This window comes from Homo sapiens, chromosome 12, assembly GCF_000001405.40.
Source record: "Homo sapiens chromosome 12, GRCh38.p14 Primary Assembly".
NCBI classification, from domain to species: domain Eukaryota; kingdom Metazoa; phylum Chordata; class Mammalia; order Primates; family Hominidae; genus Homo; species Homo sapiens.
Genome location: NC_000012.12, coordinates 50,570,877 through 50,593,063, shown reverse-complemented (window position 1 = coordinate 50,593,063; position 22,187 = coordinate 50,570,877). Strand labels below are relative to the sequence as shown.

The following is a 22,187-nucleotide window of genomic DNA, read 5'->3' as shown; positions in this document are numbered from 1 at the left end:
TCAAACTGAAATTTGGTTGCCTTGTGTGCAAATTCAGGAAGTACGGAGAATAGGTCTAATGGCAAGGACTAACACTGACAACTTGTCATATTTAAATTCTCCAGTGAACAGGTCAGCCATCAGTGCCTAGAGAATATGACAATGCCCAACTGCTTTGGAGTTCAAAGAAAGGAAGAAAACCAACATTTAGAAGCACCTATTACTGACAGGCTAGAGGCTTTCAGGTGCACGATCTTATAAAAAAGCATCATACTATTAGTTATGAACCACTAAAGAAAATAAATAATCTGGCCGGGTGCAGTGGCTCACAGCTTAATCCCAGCACTTTAGGAGGCCGAGGCGGGCAGATCACAAGGTCAGGAGTTCGAGACCAGCCTGACCAACATGGTGAAACCCCATCTCTACTAAAAATACAAAAATTAGCCAGGCGTAGTGGCGTGTGCCTGTAATCCCAGCTACTCAGGAGGCTGAGGCAGGAGAATTGCTGGAACTCAGGAGGCGGAGGTTGCAGTGAGCTGAGATCGTGCCACTGCACTCCAGCCTGGGTGACAGAGTGAGACTCAGTCTCAAAAAAAAGAAGAAAGAAAATAAATAATCTAAAAGTTAAGGCCCGGCGCAGTGGCTGATAACTATAATGCCAGCACTTTAGGAGGCCAAAGCAGGAGGACTGCTTGACCCTAGGCAACAACATGAAACCTTGTCACAACAAAAAAAATTAAAAATTAGCCAGACATGGTGGCACTTGTCTGTAGTTCCAGCTACTCAGGAGGCTGAGGCAAGAGGATTGCCTGAGCCCAAGAGTTCGAGGCTGCAGTGAGCTACGATGGTGTCACTATACTCCAGCCTGGACAACAGGCTGTCTCTAAAAAAATAAAAATAAAGATCGGCTGGGCGCAGTGGCTCACGCCTGTCATCCCAGCACTTTGGGAGGCCAAGGCAGATGCATCACTTGAGGTCAGGAGTTCGAGACCAGCCTGGTCAACACGGTGAGACCCCCGTCTCTACTAAAAACACAAAAATTAGCTGGGCATGGTGACACATGCCTGTAATCCCAGCTACTTGGGAGGCTGAGGCAGGAGAATCACTTGAACCCGGGAGGCAGAGGTTACAGTGAGCCAAGATCGCACCACTGCACTCTAGCCTGGACAACAGTGCAAGACTCCATCTCAAAAAAAAAAAAAACACACAAAAATAAAGAAATAAAAGTTAATAAACAATATCGTTTTAGTCCCCTGATACGTAAAATAGCAGCCAGAATGCAAAAACTCTCATTTATACAATGTAGTATAAGAATTTTATCATATGGCTGGGCACGGTGGCTCAAGCCTGTTATTCCAGCACTTTGGGAGGCCCAGGTGGGATGACCGCTTTAGTCCAGGAGTTGGAGACCAGTCTGGGCAACATGGCAAAACCATGTTTCTATTAAAAAAAAAAAGAAAGAAAGAAAGAAAGAAAAAGAAAAATTAGCCAGTGTGGTGTCAAGTGCTTGTAGGATACACTCAGGAGGCTGAGGTGGGAGGATCACCTGAGCCCAGGAGGCAAAGGATACAGTGAGCTGAGATCATGCCACTGTACTCCAGCCAGGGAGACAGAGACAATGTCTCAAATAAATTAAAAAAAATTATCATGCATAATTTGGATCTCACCCCCAAGAATTTTAAAAAAGGAATACAATGGGGAAAAGATTAGGATTTAAAAAAAAAAATCAGATGGGTAAACAAAAAGAAAAATCAATATCATAAAAGGCTAGAATAACTTCAGGTTCAAGAATTGGGCATTAAATTTAGCTTCTAGTTTCTTGGCCTTCAAAGTCCATGGAGAAGTAAAACAGATTATTGAATTCCTGCTCTTTGAAAAAACTGTCTTAGCCTATTTTGTGCTGCTATAACAGAAATCTGAGACTGCACAATTCATAAAGAACAGAAATTTATTATTCACAGTTATGGAGGCTGAGAAGTCCAACAGCAAAGCATCTGGTGTCTGGTAAGGGCCCTCTTGCTGAGTTTTCAAAGGGCAGAAGGCAGAAGGGCAAGCTAGCTGAACCTGTGTGAAGTCTCTTTTATAAGGGCCTTAATCCCACTCCCAAGAGAGAAGCCCTCATGGTCCATTCACCTCTTAAAAGTCCATCTCTTAAAAGTATCACATTGGCAACACCTGAATTTTGGAGGCAACACATTCAAACCATAGCACACAGAAATCTAACTTGAAAGTGGAGTTTCCTAGATGGGTTCTGGTCTATAAATACACTAAAATTTCATAACATCAAATTTTGATCAATCTACACATTTTATATTAAAGTCTAAATTCTTGTTTGTTTTTAAACATGCTTTCACTGGAAATGATCATAATAATGATCCTCTAGTAGCAGATGCTGTGACAATTAAAACAACATTCATGCCAGGCATGGTGGCTCTCAGCTGTAATTCCCAGCACTTTGAGAGGCCGAGGTGGGTAGATCACAAGGTCAAGAGTTCGAGACCAGCCTGGCCAACATGGTGAAACCCCATCTCTACTAAGAATACAAAAATTAGCTGGGCATGGTGGTGCGTGCCTGTAATCCCAGCTACTCAGGAGGCTGAGGCAAGAGAATTGCTTGAACCCCGGAGGCGGAGGTTGCAGTGAGCTGAGATCACGCCACTGCACTCCAGCCTGGGCAACAGAGCAAGGCTCCGTCTCAGGAAAAAGAAAAAAAAAAAATCACTCCTTGGGCCACAACTGTCCTCAATTACTTCTCCAGTGGGGGCCACAAATGGCATCTTCAAAAACAGAGAGAAAGCAGAAACACAAGTGTAATCCCAGAATTTTGGGAGGCCAAGGCAGAAGGCTCGCCTGAGCCCAGGAGTTCGAGATCAGCCTGGGCAACATAGTGGGATCCCACCTCTACATAAAATTAAAAAAAAAAAATTATCCAGAAACGGTAACATGATCCTGTAGCTTCTACTCAGGAAGCTGAAGCAGGAGGATTATCTGAGCCCAGGAGTTTGAGGTCTCAGTGAGCCATGATGGCGTCACTGCACTCCAGCCTGAGAAAGTAAGATACTATCTCAGAGAGAGACAGAGAAAGAGAGAGAGAGAGAGAAACAGGAAATGCCTATCTCCTCTGCCCCCTTACTTTCACCAGTTAAAAGGCAGAGAACAGATAAAAGAGAGAAAGCAGTAAGAGGATCTTGGAAGATAATTAATCCCCGATTAGCATATATTTCCACTGGAATATTCAAATGTCTTCTCTTAACCTCTCTTAATTTTTCTTCCTGATGGTCCTAAATTACTCAGTTGTTTAAAATTTAAGTAACACAGAGGATACACCCTCTGGCCCCCAAGAGCAATCATTATCTGGCCCTGCTTGCCTGTGTCAATGGTCCCGATCTCCCACCACTCTCCTAACTCACTGGACTCACAATTCTTGCAGTTCTTCAGATATACCAAGCTTTTTAAGATCCTTGCACCAATCATTTCCTGTGCCTAAAAAACACTTTCCCTAGATTTTCTTATAAACTGGCTCCCTCTCCTCATTCATGTCTCAGCTCAAATGTCACCTCTTCAGAAAGGCTACTCCTGAAGGATGACCACAAATTTTAAATTAATGGCTGGGCATGGTGGCTCACATCTGAAACCCCAGCACTTTGGGACGCCGAGGTCAGGAGTTTGAGACCAGCCTGGCCAACATGGTGAAACCCCCTCTCTACTAAAAATAGAACAAAATTAGCTGGGCGTGGTGGCGTGCACCTATAATCCCAGTTACTTGAGAGGCTGAGGCAGGAGAATCAAGCCACTGCACTCCAGCCTGGGCAAAAGAGTGGTACTCCATCTCAAAAAAAAAAAAAACAAAGACAAACAAATTTTATTTATTTATTTTTATTTTATTTTATTTTATTTTTTTGAGACAGAGTCTTGCCCTGTTTCCTAGGCTGGAGTGCAGTGGCGCGATCTTGGCTCACTGCAAGCTCCGCCTCCTGGGTTCACGCCATTCTCCTGCCTCAGCCTCCCGAGTAGCTGGGACTACAGGTGCCCGCCACCACACCCGGCTAATTTTTTGTATTTTTAGTAGAGACAGGGTTTCACCGTGTTAGCCAGGATGGTCTCGATCTCCTGACCTCGTGATCCGCCCGCCTCGGCCTCCCAAAGTGCTAGGATTACAGGCGTGAGCCACCGCGCCCAGCACAAACAAATTTTAATTTAATGAGACAGCAATCGTCTCATTCAATCAACTGATTTTAAAGGTGAGCAAATATAAATTCTGGAAATTAAGAGATTTTTCTCTTACATGTCACTTCATCAAACCCCACCTCTATCCTCCAAATTTATAATGTTCTACAGAAAGTTTGGCACAAATCCAGCTAGGCAGTAGGGGCTGTAAATATAGAATCCAGCAGCTGGGTTAAGACGGAATTCTAGCTAACATGGTCTTATTATGGGCATCTGTTCTCCACCCACCAGAGCAACCCAAACCAAGGGGAGAGAAAGGTATCTCATTCAGACAGCATTCCCCAAAAAACATCCTCCTGCTCTTTAGTGAAGTGACTATTAAGGAAATAACTACTACACATCAATTTTTTAAATGTACAGGGGAACCCCCAATCTCGTGTTCAGTACAGTATAAGTACTGATGAATCAGGCCGGGCACGGGGGCTCGTGCCTGTAATTCCAGCACTTTGGGAGGCTGAGGCAGGGGGATCACCTGAGATGAGGAGTTCAAGACCAGCCTGGCCAACACAGTGACACTCCATCTCTAAAAATACAAAGAATTAGCTGGGCCTGGTAGCACATGCCTGTAATCCCAGCTACTCAGGAGGCTGAGGCACAAGAATCACTTGAACCTGGGAGGCGGAGGTTGCAGTGAGCCAAGATCGCACCACTGCACTCCACCCTGGGCAACAGAGTGAGACTGTCTCCAAAAAGAAAAAGAAAAAGAAAAAGAAAAAAAAAAGAAAAGAAGTACCAACAAATCAATTTCTAACACTGTTTCACCAAAGTGTTATTTCAAGGTTGGAGTTCAGGGAAAGAAGTAACAGCATTTAAGTCTAGCTTTGCTTTCACCCATTGGTATTGTATAGATACCAAAACAAATCCTAAGCCTATATATTTTTATAAAAGCAAATTATCTCGAGATAATTTTTTTGAAATTTCCTTGCTATACCTAGTTTTCAAACACAATTAGGTCAGAATTTAAACAAATTTTGTCCTTTTATTCTCTGGGACAGACCCCAAAACAGAAATGTATACAGAACCCCTGCAATACTTGATGAGTAAGTGATAAATTCAAAAGAACCAGTGGGAAGAGTGGAAGAGAGAAGCATGAGTGGCAGACAACATGCAGGTTAATTTTCAGCTTTCAAAAACAAATTGTAAAAGGTTAAAATATTTTTAGGGTTGTTGCTTCCATATAAGATCTCAAAACATAGGAGACACTGAAGGAGGAAGAAAAAAATTGAAAATGGAGAAAGTAGGACTGAAATACTGAGAGAGTATTGACAAATTCCTGGACTATCACAATCTGGCCTTAGGCATTTCTATACACCTCTATGATTTAAAGTATCAAGTTAGTTTTATTTTGGACAGAATTTAACAAGCTGCCTAATGAAAAATGATCCCTCCCCGTCATGTAACCTTTAGTAAGCGCAGGTATCCAAAAACAAGGAATGGCAAAAAGGTAGCTTTGCATTAATTAGTCATCAAGTAAATATCTTAATAAGGTCCATATAGCAAGTGAGGGACAAAACAAGAGGGTGGTCTAAAGGCTGTGTGGAGTCAGTAACAGACTAGCCACAGAATCTAAAAGGACCAGGGAAAGGTTCACAGAAGAGAAAAGGGGACCTGGACTTTGTGGGAAGCTCTGATTTTATCACTATACACTTCAAACTGCAGTGAAGAAAGATCCTGCTTGCCTACCTAAAGTGTAGAGGTATAACAACAAAGTGACTGTATCTGGAAGTGAAAGGAACCTAAGAGCAGACCAACTTAAGTTTTAATTGCAATAGGATACTTATTTTTATAATACACTCACCCATGGTTCAAAATCTAAAGGTACAAAAGAGACACATACAGTGAAAATATCATTCCCTCTTCTGTTTAACAGTCAGGTGATGTCTTGAGAACCCACCCAAAGAAGCATATACAAGCAAAAACATGTTTTCATATGGGCAAATTTTGATCAAAACGTTTATAATAGCTTTTTATTTAAAAAAATTTTTTGCCGGGCACAGTGGCTCACGCCTGTAATCCCAACACTTTGGGAGGCCAAGGCGGGTGGATCACTTGAGGTCAGGAGTTTGAGACCAGCCTGGCCAACATGGTGAAACCTCATCTCTACTAAAAATACAAAAATTAGCTGGGCGTGGTGGCATACACCTGTAGTCCCAGCTACTCAGGAGGCTGAGGCAGGAGAATCGCTTGAACCCGGGAGGCAGAGGTTGCAGTGAGCCGAGATCACACCACTGCACTCCAGTCTGGGCAACAGACCAAGACTCCATCTCAAATAAAAAATGTTGTTTGTTTGTTTTACGTAAAATCACTGTCATTATGCATATGCATACATTACAACAACTTTTCTAAGAAACTCACTTCTTCAAGTTTTTTTTAAAGTATCAGAGTAAAAGTGCTGAACTAGGAACTGGGAGTATAGGTTTTAGCCTCAATTCTGTACAAGTTTGGGAAAGTCCCATCACTTTTTGGGCATTCTCCTTGACTGCCACTTGAGTCCAGGCCCCATGTCATCTGCCTGGACCTGCCTCTCTACATCCTCCAAATAACCCAGGCTCTTGTCTCCTCCAATCCATTCTACTCAGGACTTTAGCTGAAATCACTTTTTAAATGCAAATCTTATTTTTGTTTGAATGCTCACCTCCTTTGTAATTTTTTTTACCATTTTGGTAAAACCAGGAATAGCTATATTGTTGTCCACAGTGAGGCTGGCAGAGCCTTCAGAGACCACCTCCTAGGTCTGATCCCCTTGTATTAACAGAACACATGAAAAGACTAATGCCCTGAGACAAAGTAAATGGGCCACATCTAGGACGCATGAGTTCTCAGAATGCCATGTGTTTGTGGGAACCTCCAGGTCATTCACTCAATTGAAAGTATTCACTGAAAGTGGCACTATGCTAGGTATCAAGAACTCCAGTGAACAGACAGATAAGATCCTTGATTTTATAGAGCTTATAGTGATAGATACATTCATTTTTAGAAAAAAAGTAAATGCCCAGGATAATGACAAAAGTGTTATCCTCTTAGATGACTGCAAGTCACCTTCTGGGGAGTCTCTCTGTGTCTTCTCTTGACCTCTGCATTAATTGCATATAACAGAGTGATCCTTTTAAATGTAAATTAGATCACGTCTATACCTTGCTCAAAACTTCCCACATTCTGAATAAAAACTAAACTCCTTACCATGGCCTGGGAAGCCTTAAGTGATCTGACTCCTGTCTACTTCTCAGCCAGTTCTCTCTGCTCTTCCTCATGCCACTCTGGCCACATACCTACTGACCTAGTCTTCTAAGGCACCTAGCTTGTTCCTCCTTGAGGCCTCACCTGCTGTTCCTTTGCCAGAACACTCTTCCCCCCAACATTCACATGATGCTCTCTCTTCATTGGAGTCCTTGCCAAAATGTCTCCTCCTCTGGCCACTCTGACTAGAAGAGCAGCTACCCCTCAATTCCCTCCATCCCCTTAGCCCACGCTTCATCTGTCTACAAGGCACAGGTCACAGTCAGCACACGATTTATCTGTGGTTTGTCTCCCAACTATACATAAGCTTCCTGAGTGTGTCTACCTTGCCCAATGCTCTATTTCCAATGCCTGGAACAGTGCTGGGCACAGAATAGGCACTCAATCAATATTTGCTGGAAAAATAGATAATGTGACAAAGAACAGATTGAGGTGGATAAGTCACTACTTTGGGAAGGGTGATCAGAAAAAGGCTCTCAGAAGAAGTGTCATTTAATCTGCATCTTGAAGCATAAGGATGAGAGCCAGAAACAGAAGAGTCCATGTAGAAGGAACAGCAAGTGTCAAGGCCCTGGGGCATGAAAGATCCTGCTGTGAAAGAGGACAAGTATAGCCACAGCATAATGAGGGACAGGAAAAAAGGTAGAAACGAAGCAGGAGAAGCAGGCAGGTTCCTGAAGGAGTCGTAATTGATTCTACATGTAATGCAGCCATTAAGGACTAAGCAAAGCGTTAGATGATATGGTTAAACATTTTTGGCCAGGCGCGGTGGTTCACGCCTGTAATTCCAACACTTTAGGAGGCAGAGGTGGACAGCTCACTTGAGGTCACGAGTTCAAGACCAGCCTGGCCAACATGGTGAAACTCCATCTCTACTAAAAATACAAAAATAAGCCAGGTGTGGCGGCACACATCTGTAATCCCAGCTACTCAGGAGGCTGAGGCAGGAGAATCGCTTGAACCCGGGAAGCAGAGGTTGTAGTGAGGTGAGATCACACCACTGCACTCCAGGCTGGACCACACAGTGAGATTCTGTCTCCAAGAAATATAAAAAATAAATAAATAACAAATACATTTTTAATAGAACACTCTGCCTGCTGTGAAGAGAACAGCATACAAGAGACAAAAATGGAAGCACAGAAACCAATCAGGAAATTCTAGCAGTTTTCTAGTTGAGAAATGATGGTGATTAGTGGTGGAAATGCAGACGGAGAGAAGTGAATGCATTTGAGATATGTACTGAGGTGAAACTGATAAAACTGCTGAAGGGCTGGACAGGGGCAGGGAAAAATTTAAGATGGCTCCCATGTTTCAGGCATGAGAAACTAGGGTCCATTTGCTAAAATGAAAAAGGACTAGGGGGAAAAAGTCAGAACTTGCCTCTGTACCTGTGAGGTCTGGGTCACAGGTTACTGATATCAAGGTGGAAGTTAGAGGATGAGCCTTGGCTGTGGATATAGATTTAGAAATCATCCACATAAAGATGGCATTTAAAGCCATGGAAGTGGGTGAAATCACATGGGAGAGAGTGTAAATAAAGAGAAGTGAAGCCCAAGACTGAGCTCCAGGGCATTCCAGCATTCAGAGGTTGGGCAATGGAAGTAAAGGGAATGAGAATAGGTCTGTGAGGCAGACAGAAAATGACTGGATGCCCTCACTGGGGACCTTGGTGCTTCCAACAAGGATGGTTTCAGTGAAGCAGTGAGGATGGCAGCCAGGACTGAGTGGTCTAAAGAAACTGGAAGAGAAGAAATGGAAGAAAGAGTAGACAACTCTTCCAAGAGTTGTGCTGTCATGGGGAGAAAAAAGTGGGTCACTGACTAGAGAGACAGGTTGATTTAATAAAGGATTATTTCTCAAGATGGGGGTACACCAGAGTGTTATCTGCACAGATGCTCTTTTATTTATGATGGGGTATGTGCAGATAAACCCATCGTAAATAGAAAATATCATGAACTGTAAGTGTGTTTTCAATTTACAGTATTTTCAACTTAGGATGGGTTTATCAGTACGTTACCCCACTGTAAGTAAAGGACCGTACTGAATTTGTATCACTTCCACACCTTCGTAAAGTCAAAAAATCCTACATCGGGACATCTGTCTATGATCAATAGGGATGCTCCGGGAGACAAGCAGCACCTGCAGATGGGGGAGGAAAGCAGACCACAGAAGCAGTAAGCGCCTTGGGAAGGTAGGGGTGCTCAGCACCAATGGAGGGACTGAAGCACAGGTGGGGGTTCAGATGAAACAAGTACTCGCCACCACTATAACCAACTGGAGGGACACAATAGAAGAGGAGTCTGGCTGCCAAAAAAAAAACGTGTAGATGTGGTGGAGGGAAGATGAGGGTATCACTCTGGAAAGATTTCTATTTTATCAGAGAAGCATGAAACAAGGCCATTGGCTAAGAGAATAAAGGACATGTGTGTGGGTTTGAGGAAAAGATATGTAATAGTCCTCTCAGAACATGAGGAAACAAATTTACCAGTAGGGCTTCCAGGCAACAATGAAGCCCATTTGTGGCTTGTGGTTATGTCTACATGGAATCCTACTAACACTTTGTGTATACGGTAAACATTTCCTTCAATCAATTTTATTATCTAAATTTATACCAAGAATTAGATTTGTAACATCATCTTTGTAATTCTAATCTAGGTAAATGCCCCCCTGACAAAAAGCAGAATGTTATAGACCCCACACACCCCCAAAATTTGATTACATCATCTGATTATCAGCCATCTTTTAAAAAGAAACCAGACAACTAACTAAAGAAAAAAATGTGCATACCATCAGGGGAAACACGACCACTGACTAGCTTACGTACTTGTAAGTGAAATTATCCGTTAATGCTTGAAATATGTTTTTAAAATAACTGGAGGCTGGGGAGGGTGCAGGAGAAGAAAAGTGGATGGGGCACAGATGAAAGTAGATGGGTCATGTGTTTTCACTGCTGTTGGTGGGTGATGGGTACATGGAGATTCACCATACAGTTCTACTCTGGTATATGTTTGAAAATCTCCGTTAAAAAGGGTAAAAACAAAAATAAAAGAAATCCAGAGGGCTAAGATGGAGCCAGTATTTATTTTATACTTCCAATATAAACTAATATTACAATGTTTCATAGAATTCTACTCTGCTTCCTTAATAACTAATCAGAAAAAAAAGCTATTAGGCCAGGTGTGGTGGGTCACGCCTGTAATCCCAGCACTTTGGGAGGCCAAGGCGGGCAAATCGCCTGAAGTCAGGAGTTCGAGACCAGTCTGGACAATGTGGTGAAACCCCGTCTCTACTAAAAATACAAAATTAGCCAGGCGTGGTGGTGCGCACCTGTAATCCCAGCTACTTGGAGGCTGAGGCAGGAGAATCACTTGAACCCGGGAGGCGGAGGCTGCAGTGAGCTGAGATCGCACCATTGAACCCCAGCCTGGACAAAAAGAACGAAACTCCACTCAAAAAAAAAAAAAAAAAAAAAAAACAGAAAAAAAGAAAAAGAAGCTATTATCCTTCCAAACAAAATTCACTTCATCTAAAAAGTTACTGCCCTTCTCTTTGATCAAGCATGCTCCACCATGCCCTGTGTCCTCTCTGCAGGAGGCCTGCCCAGGTCCAGGGCTGCCTGAGACAAGGGGGCCTAACTCGAGGATTCAGTGCAGGCTCGCACAGCTCTCACACTGAGCTCTGCCTCAATCAGTATTAAAGGCTACATTCTGGCTGCAAAAAAGAAAAAAGTAAAAGATATTTATCTTTTCTTCCCTTCCTCAACAAATTTCTAACTGTATACCTCATGAAACTGCTGCAACAAATGAGCTCATCTTCATTAACTTTCCTTTCAGCCAAGAGTAAGTAAAGTATGGACAGGGCAAGCAAACCATGCCTGAGTCAGCAGGAGTTGAGTGGATATCCCTTGTGCTGCCCGGTGACTCCACTGTCTTGGGCACGATAACGTACACCACAAGTAGTGTTTAAGGTCACCTACCACTGTGGTGAATGTGGGTAGCAAGTAGACGCTATGGAGGAGAAATCAGCACTGAGTAAGGCCCCTCCTAGGGTATATGGTAAATAGTATTTTATTCTACTAGCAATCTCCTCTACCCCCTTCCACATTTCTTTTTACTCTCCCTCTTTGGAAACCTAATTTGTGGCAAACAAGGTCAACTGTACAGCATACAGCCGGAAAGAATCACACTCCTATTGGGCGCCTCCAACCTGATGGTTACCTGACTGGTTTTACTGACAGAACTGGTTGCCCAGGAGGGTGGATATTATTTCTGAGAGCCACAAAGGACATTTTCTTTATGCAGTAGCGGTCTTAAAAGCCTGCCTATTTTTTAGCTTATGAATAAATTCCTGTTTCAATGATTCCCAAATCTGGCTAATTACAGGCATTTCCAGAAGAGTTCTTTTAAAGTCTCAATTGGGCCAGAAATCTGTGTTTTTGAAAGTCATCAAGTAGTTGTGCTCATTCACATGCAGAAAGTAATGATGTGGCATGACCTATAGCACAAATGTAAGTCAGAATTCCAAAGAGTGAGCGACCTCTAAAATGTATTTAGTTATTCCGAACACAAAATAGTTTCTCCAAAATAAAACCACAATTCTAGTTAATATACAAAGTAAAACTGAATTCATAATGCAGCAAAAAACATTAAGAAAGAGCTACCAAATTACAAGGAAGGACTAAAGCCGGGTCGGTCCTTCAAGGCTGGCATTGTTGACATTTTGGGCTAGATAATTCTTTGTTGATGGAGGGTGCTGTGTGCACTGTAGGATATTTCCATCATTTGAACATAAAGTGTGTGAAAGTATTGCTGTAACAAAACAATTAGTAATTCTGCTGACCTCTACCCATTAAATGCCAGTAGCAATTTCATCCCCCAACCCAGAGCTCTGACAACCAAAAATGTCTCTAGACCTTGCCAAATGTACCCTGACGGTTGAGGGGTGCAAAATTGCCTCAGTTCAGAACAACTGAACTGAAGGAACTGGGTTAAAAATAGAAGAAAGTTGCAGTGAGCCGAGATCACGCCACTACACTCTAGTCTGGGCAACAGAGTGAGACACAGTCTCAAAAAAAAAAAAAAAGGAAAAAGAAAAGAAAGGATAAAGTAGACTGGAGTAAAAATATAGATAATAAAATTTCTGCAAAATATAAAGAAAAAGCATAAGGAGCACCATTCTTGGCTATTTTTATTTTAAAAAATAAAATTAAAGGAAATTAGCTTAAATTATAAAAGAGGGCATCTGGAGTACTCATAAGGAAAAATCTCTTAACTCCAAAGGCTTATTAAAGCCAGGAAACTGGAGCCCTTTACCTGGAGATAATTAGAATGAATCAGAATGAAATGACTGTGATATAACTCAGAAGGTTTGGGGCAACAGTGTGTAGTGCTGAGACCTCTGGAGGGCCCTTTTTAGCCTAAGAGTCTCTCCTGTCCTGGAGCCCTAAAGACTTCTTCAGAAGGAAAGTACTTGACTCACAATTAATGTCTCACTGTGGATTCAAGTCCACGTGATATGACCAATTTCTGAATGTACACACAAGCAAGCCAACAAAGTTAGCAAGGTTGGCCCTTCCCTGTTGTTTTTGCCCCACAAGGTCTAGGTTAAGCTAAGAACTGGTCTTCTCCTTTGTGCCCATGGTTATTTCCAGCATTTGTCCAGTGCCTGTGCCAAGACTGCCAGTCAGAAGTGGAGATCTGACCAGGAATTGTATCCATACCAGATCAGCACACCTACCAGGCCAATCTCATCAAAAGTAAAGGCAAAGAGAAGAAATAAGGGAAGTGAGAAGGAAATACAGTTGAGTCAGAAATGACTTTACTTTCAATCTGCAGTTCTCCAAAAATGTGGTCCACAGTTTCTGGGGGTCTCTCCAAAATTACAGGGGTCCATGAAGCTATGTATATATATATATATATATATATATATATATATATATATATATATATATATATATATATATATATATATATATATTTTTTTTTTTTTTTTTTTTTTTTTTTTTTTTTTGAGACGGAGTCTCACTCTATCACCCAGGCTGGAGTACAGTGCCATGATCTCGGCTCACTGCAACCTCCACCTCCCAGGTTCAAGTGATTTTCCTGCCTCAGCCTCCTGACTAGCTGGGGTTACAGGCACCTGCCACCACACCTGGCTAATTTTGTATTTTTTGTAGAGACGGGGTTTCACCATGTTGCCCAGGCTGGTGTCCAACTCCTGGGCTCAAGTGATCTGCCCTCCTTGGCCTCCCAAAGTGTTGGGATTACAGGTGTGAGCCATTGTGCCTGACCTAGATTCAGGTTTTCTAAAATTTTTATTTTTGCTTAAAATCACTATCAGTTCACTGTAACTTATAATTGTCAACAAATGCTGCCAGCAACAGGCTCATTTCATTCATTTTTGAGAAAATATCTGGCTGACATCCAAATCTAAATATATAACCATAGTTTATCTCTCATTTATTCTTTCAAGTAGAAATGATGTTTAAAAAGTCAGCTCACAACTCTCAAACAATTGTACAAATGTTTTTCCTTGACACAACACAGAATTGTACAAAAATGTGGACTCAGGCATTAAGATGTACTAAAATCAATATCTTTTACCGTGAGTGCATGGACTAGGTTGCCACTACCTTGATTTGTGCTGTTTCCAGCAATTTTACTCACCATTGCTTTTGTACCATTAGTATAAATAATTTAAAAGTGTACAGTTTGAGATGCATTGTTGTGGATAAAGAACAATAAATAAAATTTTCCGCACCTGGCCAAAATAAAATTTTCAAATAGCCTTTAACACAGTATAAAAGAGCAAACAGGCCGGGCGCGGTGGCTTATGCTTGTAATCCCAGCACTTTGGGAGGCCGAGGCGGGCAGATCACGAGGTCAGGAGATCGAGACCATCCTGGCTAACACGGTGAAACCCTGTCTCTACTAAAAATACAAAAAAATTAGCCGGGTGTGATGGCGGGCGCCTGTAGTCCCAGCTACTCGGGAGGCTGAGGCAGGAGAATGGCATGAACCCGGGAGGCCGAGCTTGCAGTGAGCCGAGATTGCGCCACTGCACTCCCGCCTGGGCCACAGAGCGAGACTCCGTCTCAAAAAAAAAAAAAAAAAAAAAGAGCAAATAACATCTTAATATCATTATTGAAATATTGTTTAGGGCCAGGCGTGGTTTTTTGATTCTATATAATGAAATATGTCAAAATTTAGAAGGTACGTATAACTATTTTCCAAATAACCAACACATAATCTTCAAACAAACAAACAAACAAAAAAAAGATGTACGGGTAACACATCCATTCGAAGTATAAAACAAGGCCGGCCACAGTGGCTCACGCCTATAATCCCAGCACTTTGGGAGCCCGAGGCAGGTGATACCTTGAGGTCAGGAGTTTGAGACAAGCCTGACCAACATGGTAAAACCCCATCTCTACTAAAAATACAAAAATTAGCTGGCTGTGGTGCACGTCTGTGTCCCAGCTACTTGGGAGGCTGAGGCATGAGAATCACTTGAACCTGGGAGGTGGAGGTTGCAGTGAGCCAAGATTGTGCCACTGCATTCCAGCCTGGCAGAGCCAGACCCTGTCTCAAAAGAAAAAAATAGTGCAACACACATCAATGAATCTAAATGTAACACAGTATGAAAAGTTAACTGATATAGTTTCATAATCTACATTGTAACTAACCTTTAAGAAGTTATTATTTGTGGACTTTTGATGCAGTATCACAGAAGAATAACCACAGTTATCTGATAAGACTATTAAAATGCTGTACTCCTGACTCTTCCAACTACATAGCTGCATGAGGCCAGATTTTTTTTTTTAATTTTACTTTAATTTCTGGGATACATGTGAGGACAGATTTTCTTTATCATAACAGATTAATGAAAAGACATTTATAAGAATCCAGACACTAAAGAGATTCACAGAAAGGTAAAACTGCTTTTCTACCTATTATTTTTTGTTTTAGAAAATATAGTTATTTCTCATATAAAAGTGTATTATATATAAATATAATAAATTTATTATTGTTATTTAGGATAAATATTTTAACATTTCAGTTTTACTTTTTTTTATTTTTTTTATTTTTTAGACGGAGTCTCGCTCTGTTGCCCAGGTTGGAGTGCAGTGGCACCATTTCAGCTCACTGCAAGCTCCACCTTCTGGGTTCACACCATTCTCCTGCCTCAGCTTCCCGAGTGGCTGGGACTACAGGGGCCCGCCACCACGCCTGGCTAAATTTTTTTTGTATTTTTAGTAGAGGCAGGGTTTCACTGTGTTAGCCCGGATGGTCTCGATCTCCTGACCTCGTGATCCGCCCGCCTCGGCCTCCCAAAGTGCTGAGATTACAGGCATGAGCCATGGCGCCTGGCCCTCAGCTTTACTTTCTAATATGGGGTCAACAGGGATACATATAACTTACCTAAACAAAAGCTCTTTGAGCCTCAATAATTTAAGAGTGTAAAGTTGGAAAACCATGATCACAGATAAAGAACAAGAAGTTAAAAATTTAAAGTCTTGACTGGGCATGGTGGCTCACGCCTGTAGTCAGGAGTTCGAGACCAGCCTGGCCAACATGGTGAAAGCCCCCTCTACTAAAAATACAAAAATTAGGCGTGGTAATCCCAGCTACTCAGGAGGCTGAGGCAGGAGAATCACTTGAACCTAGGAGGCGGATGTTACACTGAGCCGAGATTGTGCCACTGCACTCCAGCCTGGGCAACGAGACCGAAACTCCGTATCAAAAAAAAATAATAATAACAAGGGATGTTTGCAGGGAGAGAATTAATAGGACTCGACCTAGAAAAGATGCAGCCTAACTTTTTCTGTAAAGGGTCAGACCGGCTGGGCGCGGTAGCTCACGCCTGTAATCCCAGCACTTTGAGAGGCCGAGGCGGGCAGATCATGAGGTCAAGAGATCGAGACCATCCTGGCTAACATGGTGAAACCCTGTCTCTACTAAAAAAAATACAAAAAATTAGCCAGGCGTGGTGACGGGCGCCTGTAGTCCCAGCTACTAGGGAGGCTGAGGCAGGAGAATGGCATGAACCTGGGAGGTGGAGTTTGCAGTGAGCCGAGATCGCGCCACTGCACTCCAGCCTGGGCGACAGAGCGAGACTTGGTCTAAAAAAGAAAAAAAAGGTGGGGGGCGGTCAGACCGTAAATATGTACTTAGGCTTTGCAGACCACATGTGGTCTCTTTCACAGATATATTTGTTTGTTTTAAACAAGCATTTAAAAATGTAAAAAAAAAAAATGCTGGGTGCAGTGGCTCACATCTGTAATCCCAGCACTTTGGGAGGCCAAGGTGGGCAGATCACCTGAGGTCAGGAGTTCAAGACCAGCCTGACCAACATGGAGAAACCGTCTCTACTAAAAATACAAAATTAGCCAGGCATGGTGGCACGTGCCTGTAATCCTAGCTACTCAGGAGGCTGAGGCAGGTAAATCACTTGAACCCAGGAGGCGGAGGTTGTAGTAAGCCGAGATCACGCCACTGCACTCCAGCCTGGGCAACAAGAGCAAAACTCCGTCTCAAAAAAAAAAAAGTGAAAAAAAATATCAGGGCCAGGCACGGTGGCTCACACTTGTAATTCCAGCTCTTTGGGAGGCCAAGCCAGGCAGATCATCTAAGGTCAGGAGTTTGAGACCAGCCTGGCCAACATGGCAAAACCCTGTCTCTACTAAAAATATAGAAATTAGCTGGGTGTGGTGGTGTGTGCCTATAATCCCAGCTACCCAGGAGGCTGAGGCAGGAGAATCACTGGAACCTGGTGGGCAGAGGCTGCAGTGAGGTGAGATTGCACCACTGCACTCCAGCCTGGGCGACAAAGCAAGACTCCATCTCAAAAAAAAATATTGGCTGCCAGGTCCCTGGCTGGATTTGACCCAGTAGACACAGTTTGCTGACCCCTGACCTAGGAGATAAACAATAAAGGAGGGCCTGGTTGGGCACAGGCACCTGTAATCCCAGCACTTTGGGAGGCTGAGGCAGATCACTTGAGCCCAGGAATTCAAGACTAGCCTGGGCGAAAACAGCAAAACTCTGTCTCTATAAGAAATTAGCCAGGCCTAGTGGCATGTGCCTGTAGTCTCAGCTGCTGGGGACTGGAGTTTGGGAGCTGAGGTGGGAGGATGGCTTGAGCCTGGGAAGTCAAGGCTGCAGTGAGCCATGATCACGTCACTGCACTCCAGCCTGGGTGACAGAGCGAGACCCTGTCTCAAAAAAAAACAAAACAAAACAAAAAAAAACAAGCCTGTGGTGACCCCCAGCTTTCCCTTTCTAGCTTAAACTAATGAAAAGGCTGTGGTATCACAAAATAAAAGGCAAGGGTTTCTGAGTTGTTGTTGTGGGGGTGGCTAGAAGAGAGTTTAGTTTTAGACAGCCCAGATGGAACTGCTAAATAGAGAGCTGGATACAAATATGGAGCTCAGAACAGAGGTCAGGGTTGGAGACAGAGATCTGGTAACCACCAAGATATGAAAGAGTTAAAACTGTGTCCAAGGGGAGAATGTCGAAAGAAAAGAAAGTTAGCTATAATCATGCAAAACACCAGAGAGGGAGGTAAACAAAAGGAGTCTGTGAAGAAAACTAAAAATGAAAGAGATGTAGGCATATTTTAAAATGTTAAAGGACAACAGAAAACTAAGTTGTGGACCTTGACTTATTGCCCAGAAATAATACTAAATCACAGATGTTTCAGAAAGGCAAAGAGGACTGCCTAAGGACAAATTCCCATCGTTCCGATAAACAAACCTTGGCTGCAATTTCCAAGAGGCCAATTGTTACAAGGTCTCTTCCCTAAAACAAAGGTTTGCTCATTGGCCTAGTCAGGCTACTTCTCCTACCCTGGCACCAACCCATTCTTCATAAAAGCCATGCATGGAAGAGGGAACGAAGTACCAGATGGGAACATTCATTCCTCACTTCTGAGGGTTCCTTGCATGAATCGAGGTCCACCAGTTGTAACATCTTTAGCATGTCTTTGCCACTTAGATCATTCTATCCTGGAGAGGGAAGCAACTGACTGACTGGTAAATTTGGGATAAATAGTCTGTTCATGCTCTTCTTCCTCATACGCATAAGCTGTCTGCTGAAGCTGCGTTGAGTGGAGGGTCTGCATACTGCATATGACCTCTCCAATCCAGCACCACTGTGCCCACGGGGTAGGTCTGAATAATGATGGAATTCACTTAGCAAACCAATTTGGCTCTAACCTTAAGCTGCTTCCTTTACCATCACCTTTATCAGTAATAAAAGCAATATTATGGCCCTCATCTGCTAATAGTTTGGTTTTTTGCCATTTATCCAGAACCCGTGTGGAGAAGAGAGGTGCTATTTATTGGCCTTTCTAAATCATAAAATCAGGTTTAACTAAACAACAATCTAATTTTAGATTAATCTAATTATCTATTGTAATCTTAATAAGATAATTCAAGATTTTTTTTAAAGGTTACATTAGTTTCCTGTCTTACTTTTATATGAAAGTTTCTTATCTATTTTGATGGAGAAAGTATTGTCCTTCACATTTGTTTGTAAAATGAAACAGGCAAGACCAACCAACAATAAAGACACAATTGTGACTACAGTTAATTCTGAATGTTCCATTCACTTTCAGATTGCAAGATTTTGGAAAAGATTTCTAAGAACCCTTAATATCATCAAACATAGTCAAGGAAATTATCTTAAATATACTTATCTTGAAATGCCCTCCAAATACTTAAATATGATTCATAAATATTTATCTCTGGTCACTTTTAAAAAGCCTAAGACAAATTATTTGAATAAATGAATTTAGTGATTTCATGCAAAATACTTCCACAACAGCATACATCACACTGTGACATTTTTAGTCTGAAGAAGGGAAAATACACATTCTGCAAAGGGAAGAAATGTAAACAAAATTGGACTAACCATTTTTAAAGACTGCCTCCTGTCTGGGTTCTGTCTGTTTGAACTATGCCAATCATGGGATTCCATTAGAAAAATAAAATTGCCCTGAAACAGTACCTCAAGTGATTAGTGCTACAATGGGCTTTTCTACAAATCATTCCAGACACTGTCCAGGGCTCAGGGCACAGCTCCTCTACTGTTTCCAACATCTATTGCACATTTTAAAAGATAAGGTTATAAGACTGGGTTGTAATAAACACACTGAATGGGTCTGTATCTACACTGAGTTGTAGGTGGCTACAGACCAGGGTAGGCCAGGAAGAAACAGAATTTGGAATGGCAAGGCAGGTGGAACAAGGAGAGCAGCATGCGCTACTAAACTGTAAGCAACTTGATCGATACTCAATCTTATTTGTCTCTTTACAACCTGAAGCACCAGCACAGAGCTTTACACAGTAGGTGTTCAAGCAGTTATTTGTTTAATGGAACTGACTGTTATGGCTGATGAAGCCAGAACTCTGGCTTCTGGATACGTGGCTGTATTTGGGGATTTTATGGTATTTACCTCTTCTGGATTATGACCTGATAGTCTGTGGTAGATTTAAGGGGATGCCTAAAAAGGATACTTAACCATTTAGTTCAGCTGGAATGGAAACACAGAACACCCTCTGCGGCTTTATTTCTTAGAGCTCACGTGCAGAATGGCACATGCCTGATCAGTTTCTGAGTGCCAAGAGTGTTCTCTGTTTTAACAGCACACTCTAGCCAAGATGCTGACACTGGGCATATTCTCCAACTTTCACCTGTCTCCTAGAGCTGCTCAGATCTGATTTAATACTGTCCATGGCGAGTCACAGCTTGAGAGGGGCTGGATCATAATGCTCCATGAAAAGCATCTACTGAAGTAAATGTTAATTTATGGAAGGAGGCACTGAGACACCAAAATGTTTTCTGTTATTCTAAATTCTGTCAGCACAAAGGAGAACCTGTAACCAACATTTTAAGGAAACTAATTTTATAGACTTTTCAGCTTACAGAATTGATAAATTAGAGCTCTAATTTTCATTATCTGGGATATGGCAAAGGTGGAGAATGGAAGAGAAGAGATTCAGAAACAGTCAATGTAGTAACCTGGAAGGCCCTTCAACAAAACTGAGCCTGTGTTTTGTTCATTTTCTTATCCCTCAAAGCATCTAGCAGGAGCCTTTTGCCAAAGGCATTCAGTAAATGTTTTCTGAATCAAGTTGTTGCGAAAGCATTCTCAGCACACACCAATCCAGCATGCCATAAGTTTAGCAACCCTTAACTCTCTCCCTAGCAAATGCTTTCAGTTCCCCTTATTGTGAAATATTTTTCTTCTAGGAAATATATTTTAACTTCACAATATATAAATGAGAAATGCCAGAATCTCCTACAAGATGTAATTTTAAAAGGGAGGAGGGCATGTACTCAACAAAGTTTGAGGAAACTGTGGTCTTAGTCTGGGGATAATATTTTTATATCAACACATAATAGACATTTTAGCTTTAAAGAGAAATGGAACACACATGAGGATAAAGTAAAACCCCCAAATTTGTGATTTTTTTAAAGTTGTGCTTCATTTTTACAAAATGAATGAAGACAAATATAAATATTTTACGTTAAAAAGCAAAGAACAACCTAAGCAAAGCAATATAACTGGAGCTGTGTTGTAACAAACTCTAAAGAGAAGGCTTCGGCAATGCTGTCACACAGCTGCATCCATAAATGTCTTTTCCTAAAGGAATAGTTAAACTAAAAGTTGAACTGGAAAGACAGATGCATCTTTTAAATAAACTTCCAGGCCTGGCTGTATGTTAAAGTTACACAAATAATTAAAATGCCTAGGTCTCAGGCTGGGCGCGGTGGCTCACGCCTGTAATTCCCACATTTTGGGAGGCCGAGGCAGGAGGATCACGAGGTCAAGAGATCGAGATCGAGACCATCCTGGCTAACATGGTGAAACCCTGTCTCTACTAAAAATACAAAAAATTAGCCAGGCGTGGTGGCACACGCCTGTAGTCCCAGTTACTTGGGAGGCTGAGACAGAAGAATCACTTGAACCCAGGAGGCGGAGGGTGCAGTGAGCCAAGATCACGCCATTGCACTCCAGCCTAGGTGACAGAGTGAGACTCCGTCTCAAAAAAAAAAAAAAAAAAAAAACGCCTAGGTTTCAAAGGTCACAGATAATTCGATTCCCATCTACCTATAGCCAAAGCCTTTCAAAAGGCTGCCAATAGGCGGGGTGTGGTGGCTCACGCCTGTAATCCCAGCACTTTGGGAGGCCAAGGCAGGGTGGATCACCTGAGGTCAGAGGTTCGAGACCAGCCTGGCCTTCATGGCATAACCCCATCTCTACTAAAAATATAAATTTTAGCTAGGCATGGTGGCGCACACCCGTAGTCCCAGCTACTCGGGAGGCTGAGGCAGGAGAATCTCTTGAACCCAGGAGGTGGAGGTTGCAGTGAACCGAGATCGTGCCACAGCACTCTAGCCTGGGTGACAGAGTAAGACTCCATCTCCAAAAAAAAAAAAAAAAAAGAGGCTGCCAATAATAACATATTCTCTTTGAGACCTTCCCTACTACCCCATCCTTCCCCAACCCCTCCACTACATTGCGATGGCATTTTCTTTTCATACCTCTATTATCACTTACCTCAATATACAATCATATTTTAATTTCATTGTTATTACAAATTGGTTCTTGATTAGACTATAAGCTCCTTGTGGACAACAGCTGGGTCATAGTAATTTTGCTACATTTAATATCTGCTAAATAAACAGTCAATAAAAGTTTTGTTGAAAAAATGAAGCCAAAATTTCTGAGAGAATAAA

At 42.2% G+C, this 22,187-nt stretch overlaps 1 protein-coding gene across 1 annotated transcript in view, besides 3 other annotated features; it reads right to left on the bottom strand.

Moving 5' to 3' along the window:
* Positions 1 to 22,187, bottom strand: part of DIP2B (disco interacting protein 2 homolog B) — a 243,673-nt gene that overhangs the window by 155,594 nt on the left and 65,892 nt on the right. The window lies entirely within an intron of this gene.
* Positions 12,883 to 13,082: an enhancer, noted in NCBI's record as "active region_6360". NCBI's record gives its function as "activates an Ori minimal core promoter by ATAC-STARR-seq in GM12878 lymphoblastoid cells {active_cell/tissue: GM12878}" and the evidence as "EXISTENCE:reporter gene assay evidence [ECO:0000049][PMID:35858748]".
* Positions 13,483 to 13,622: an enhancer, noted in NCBI's record as "active region_6359". NCBI's record gives its function as "activates an Ori minimal core promoter by ATAC-STARR-seq in GM12878 lymphoblastoid cells {active_cell/tissue: GM12878}" and the evidence as "EXISTENCE:reporter gene assay evidence [ECO:0000049][PMID:35858748]".
* Positions 17,504 to 17,603: an enhancer, noted in NCBI's record as "active region_6358". NCBI's record gives its function as "activates an Ori minimal core promoter by ATAC-STARR-seq in GM12878 lymphoblastoid cells {active_cell/tissue: GM12878}" and the evidence as "EXISTENCE:reporter gene assay evidence [ECO:0000049][PMID:35858748]".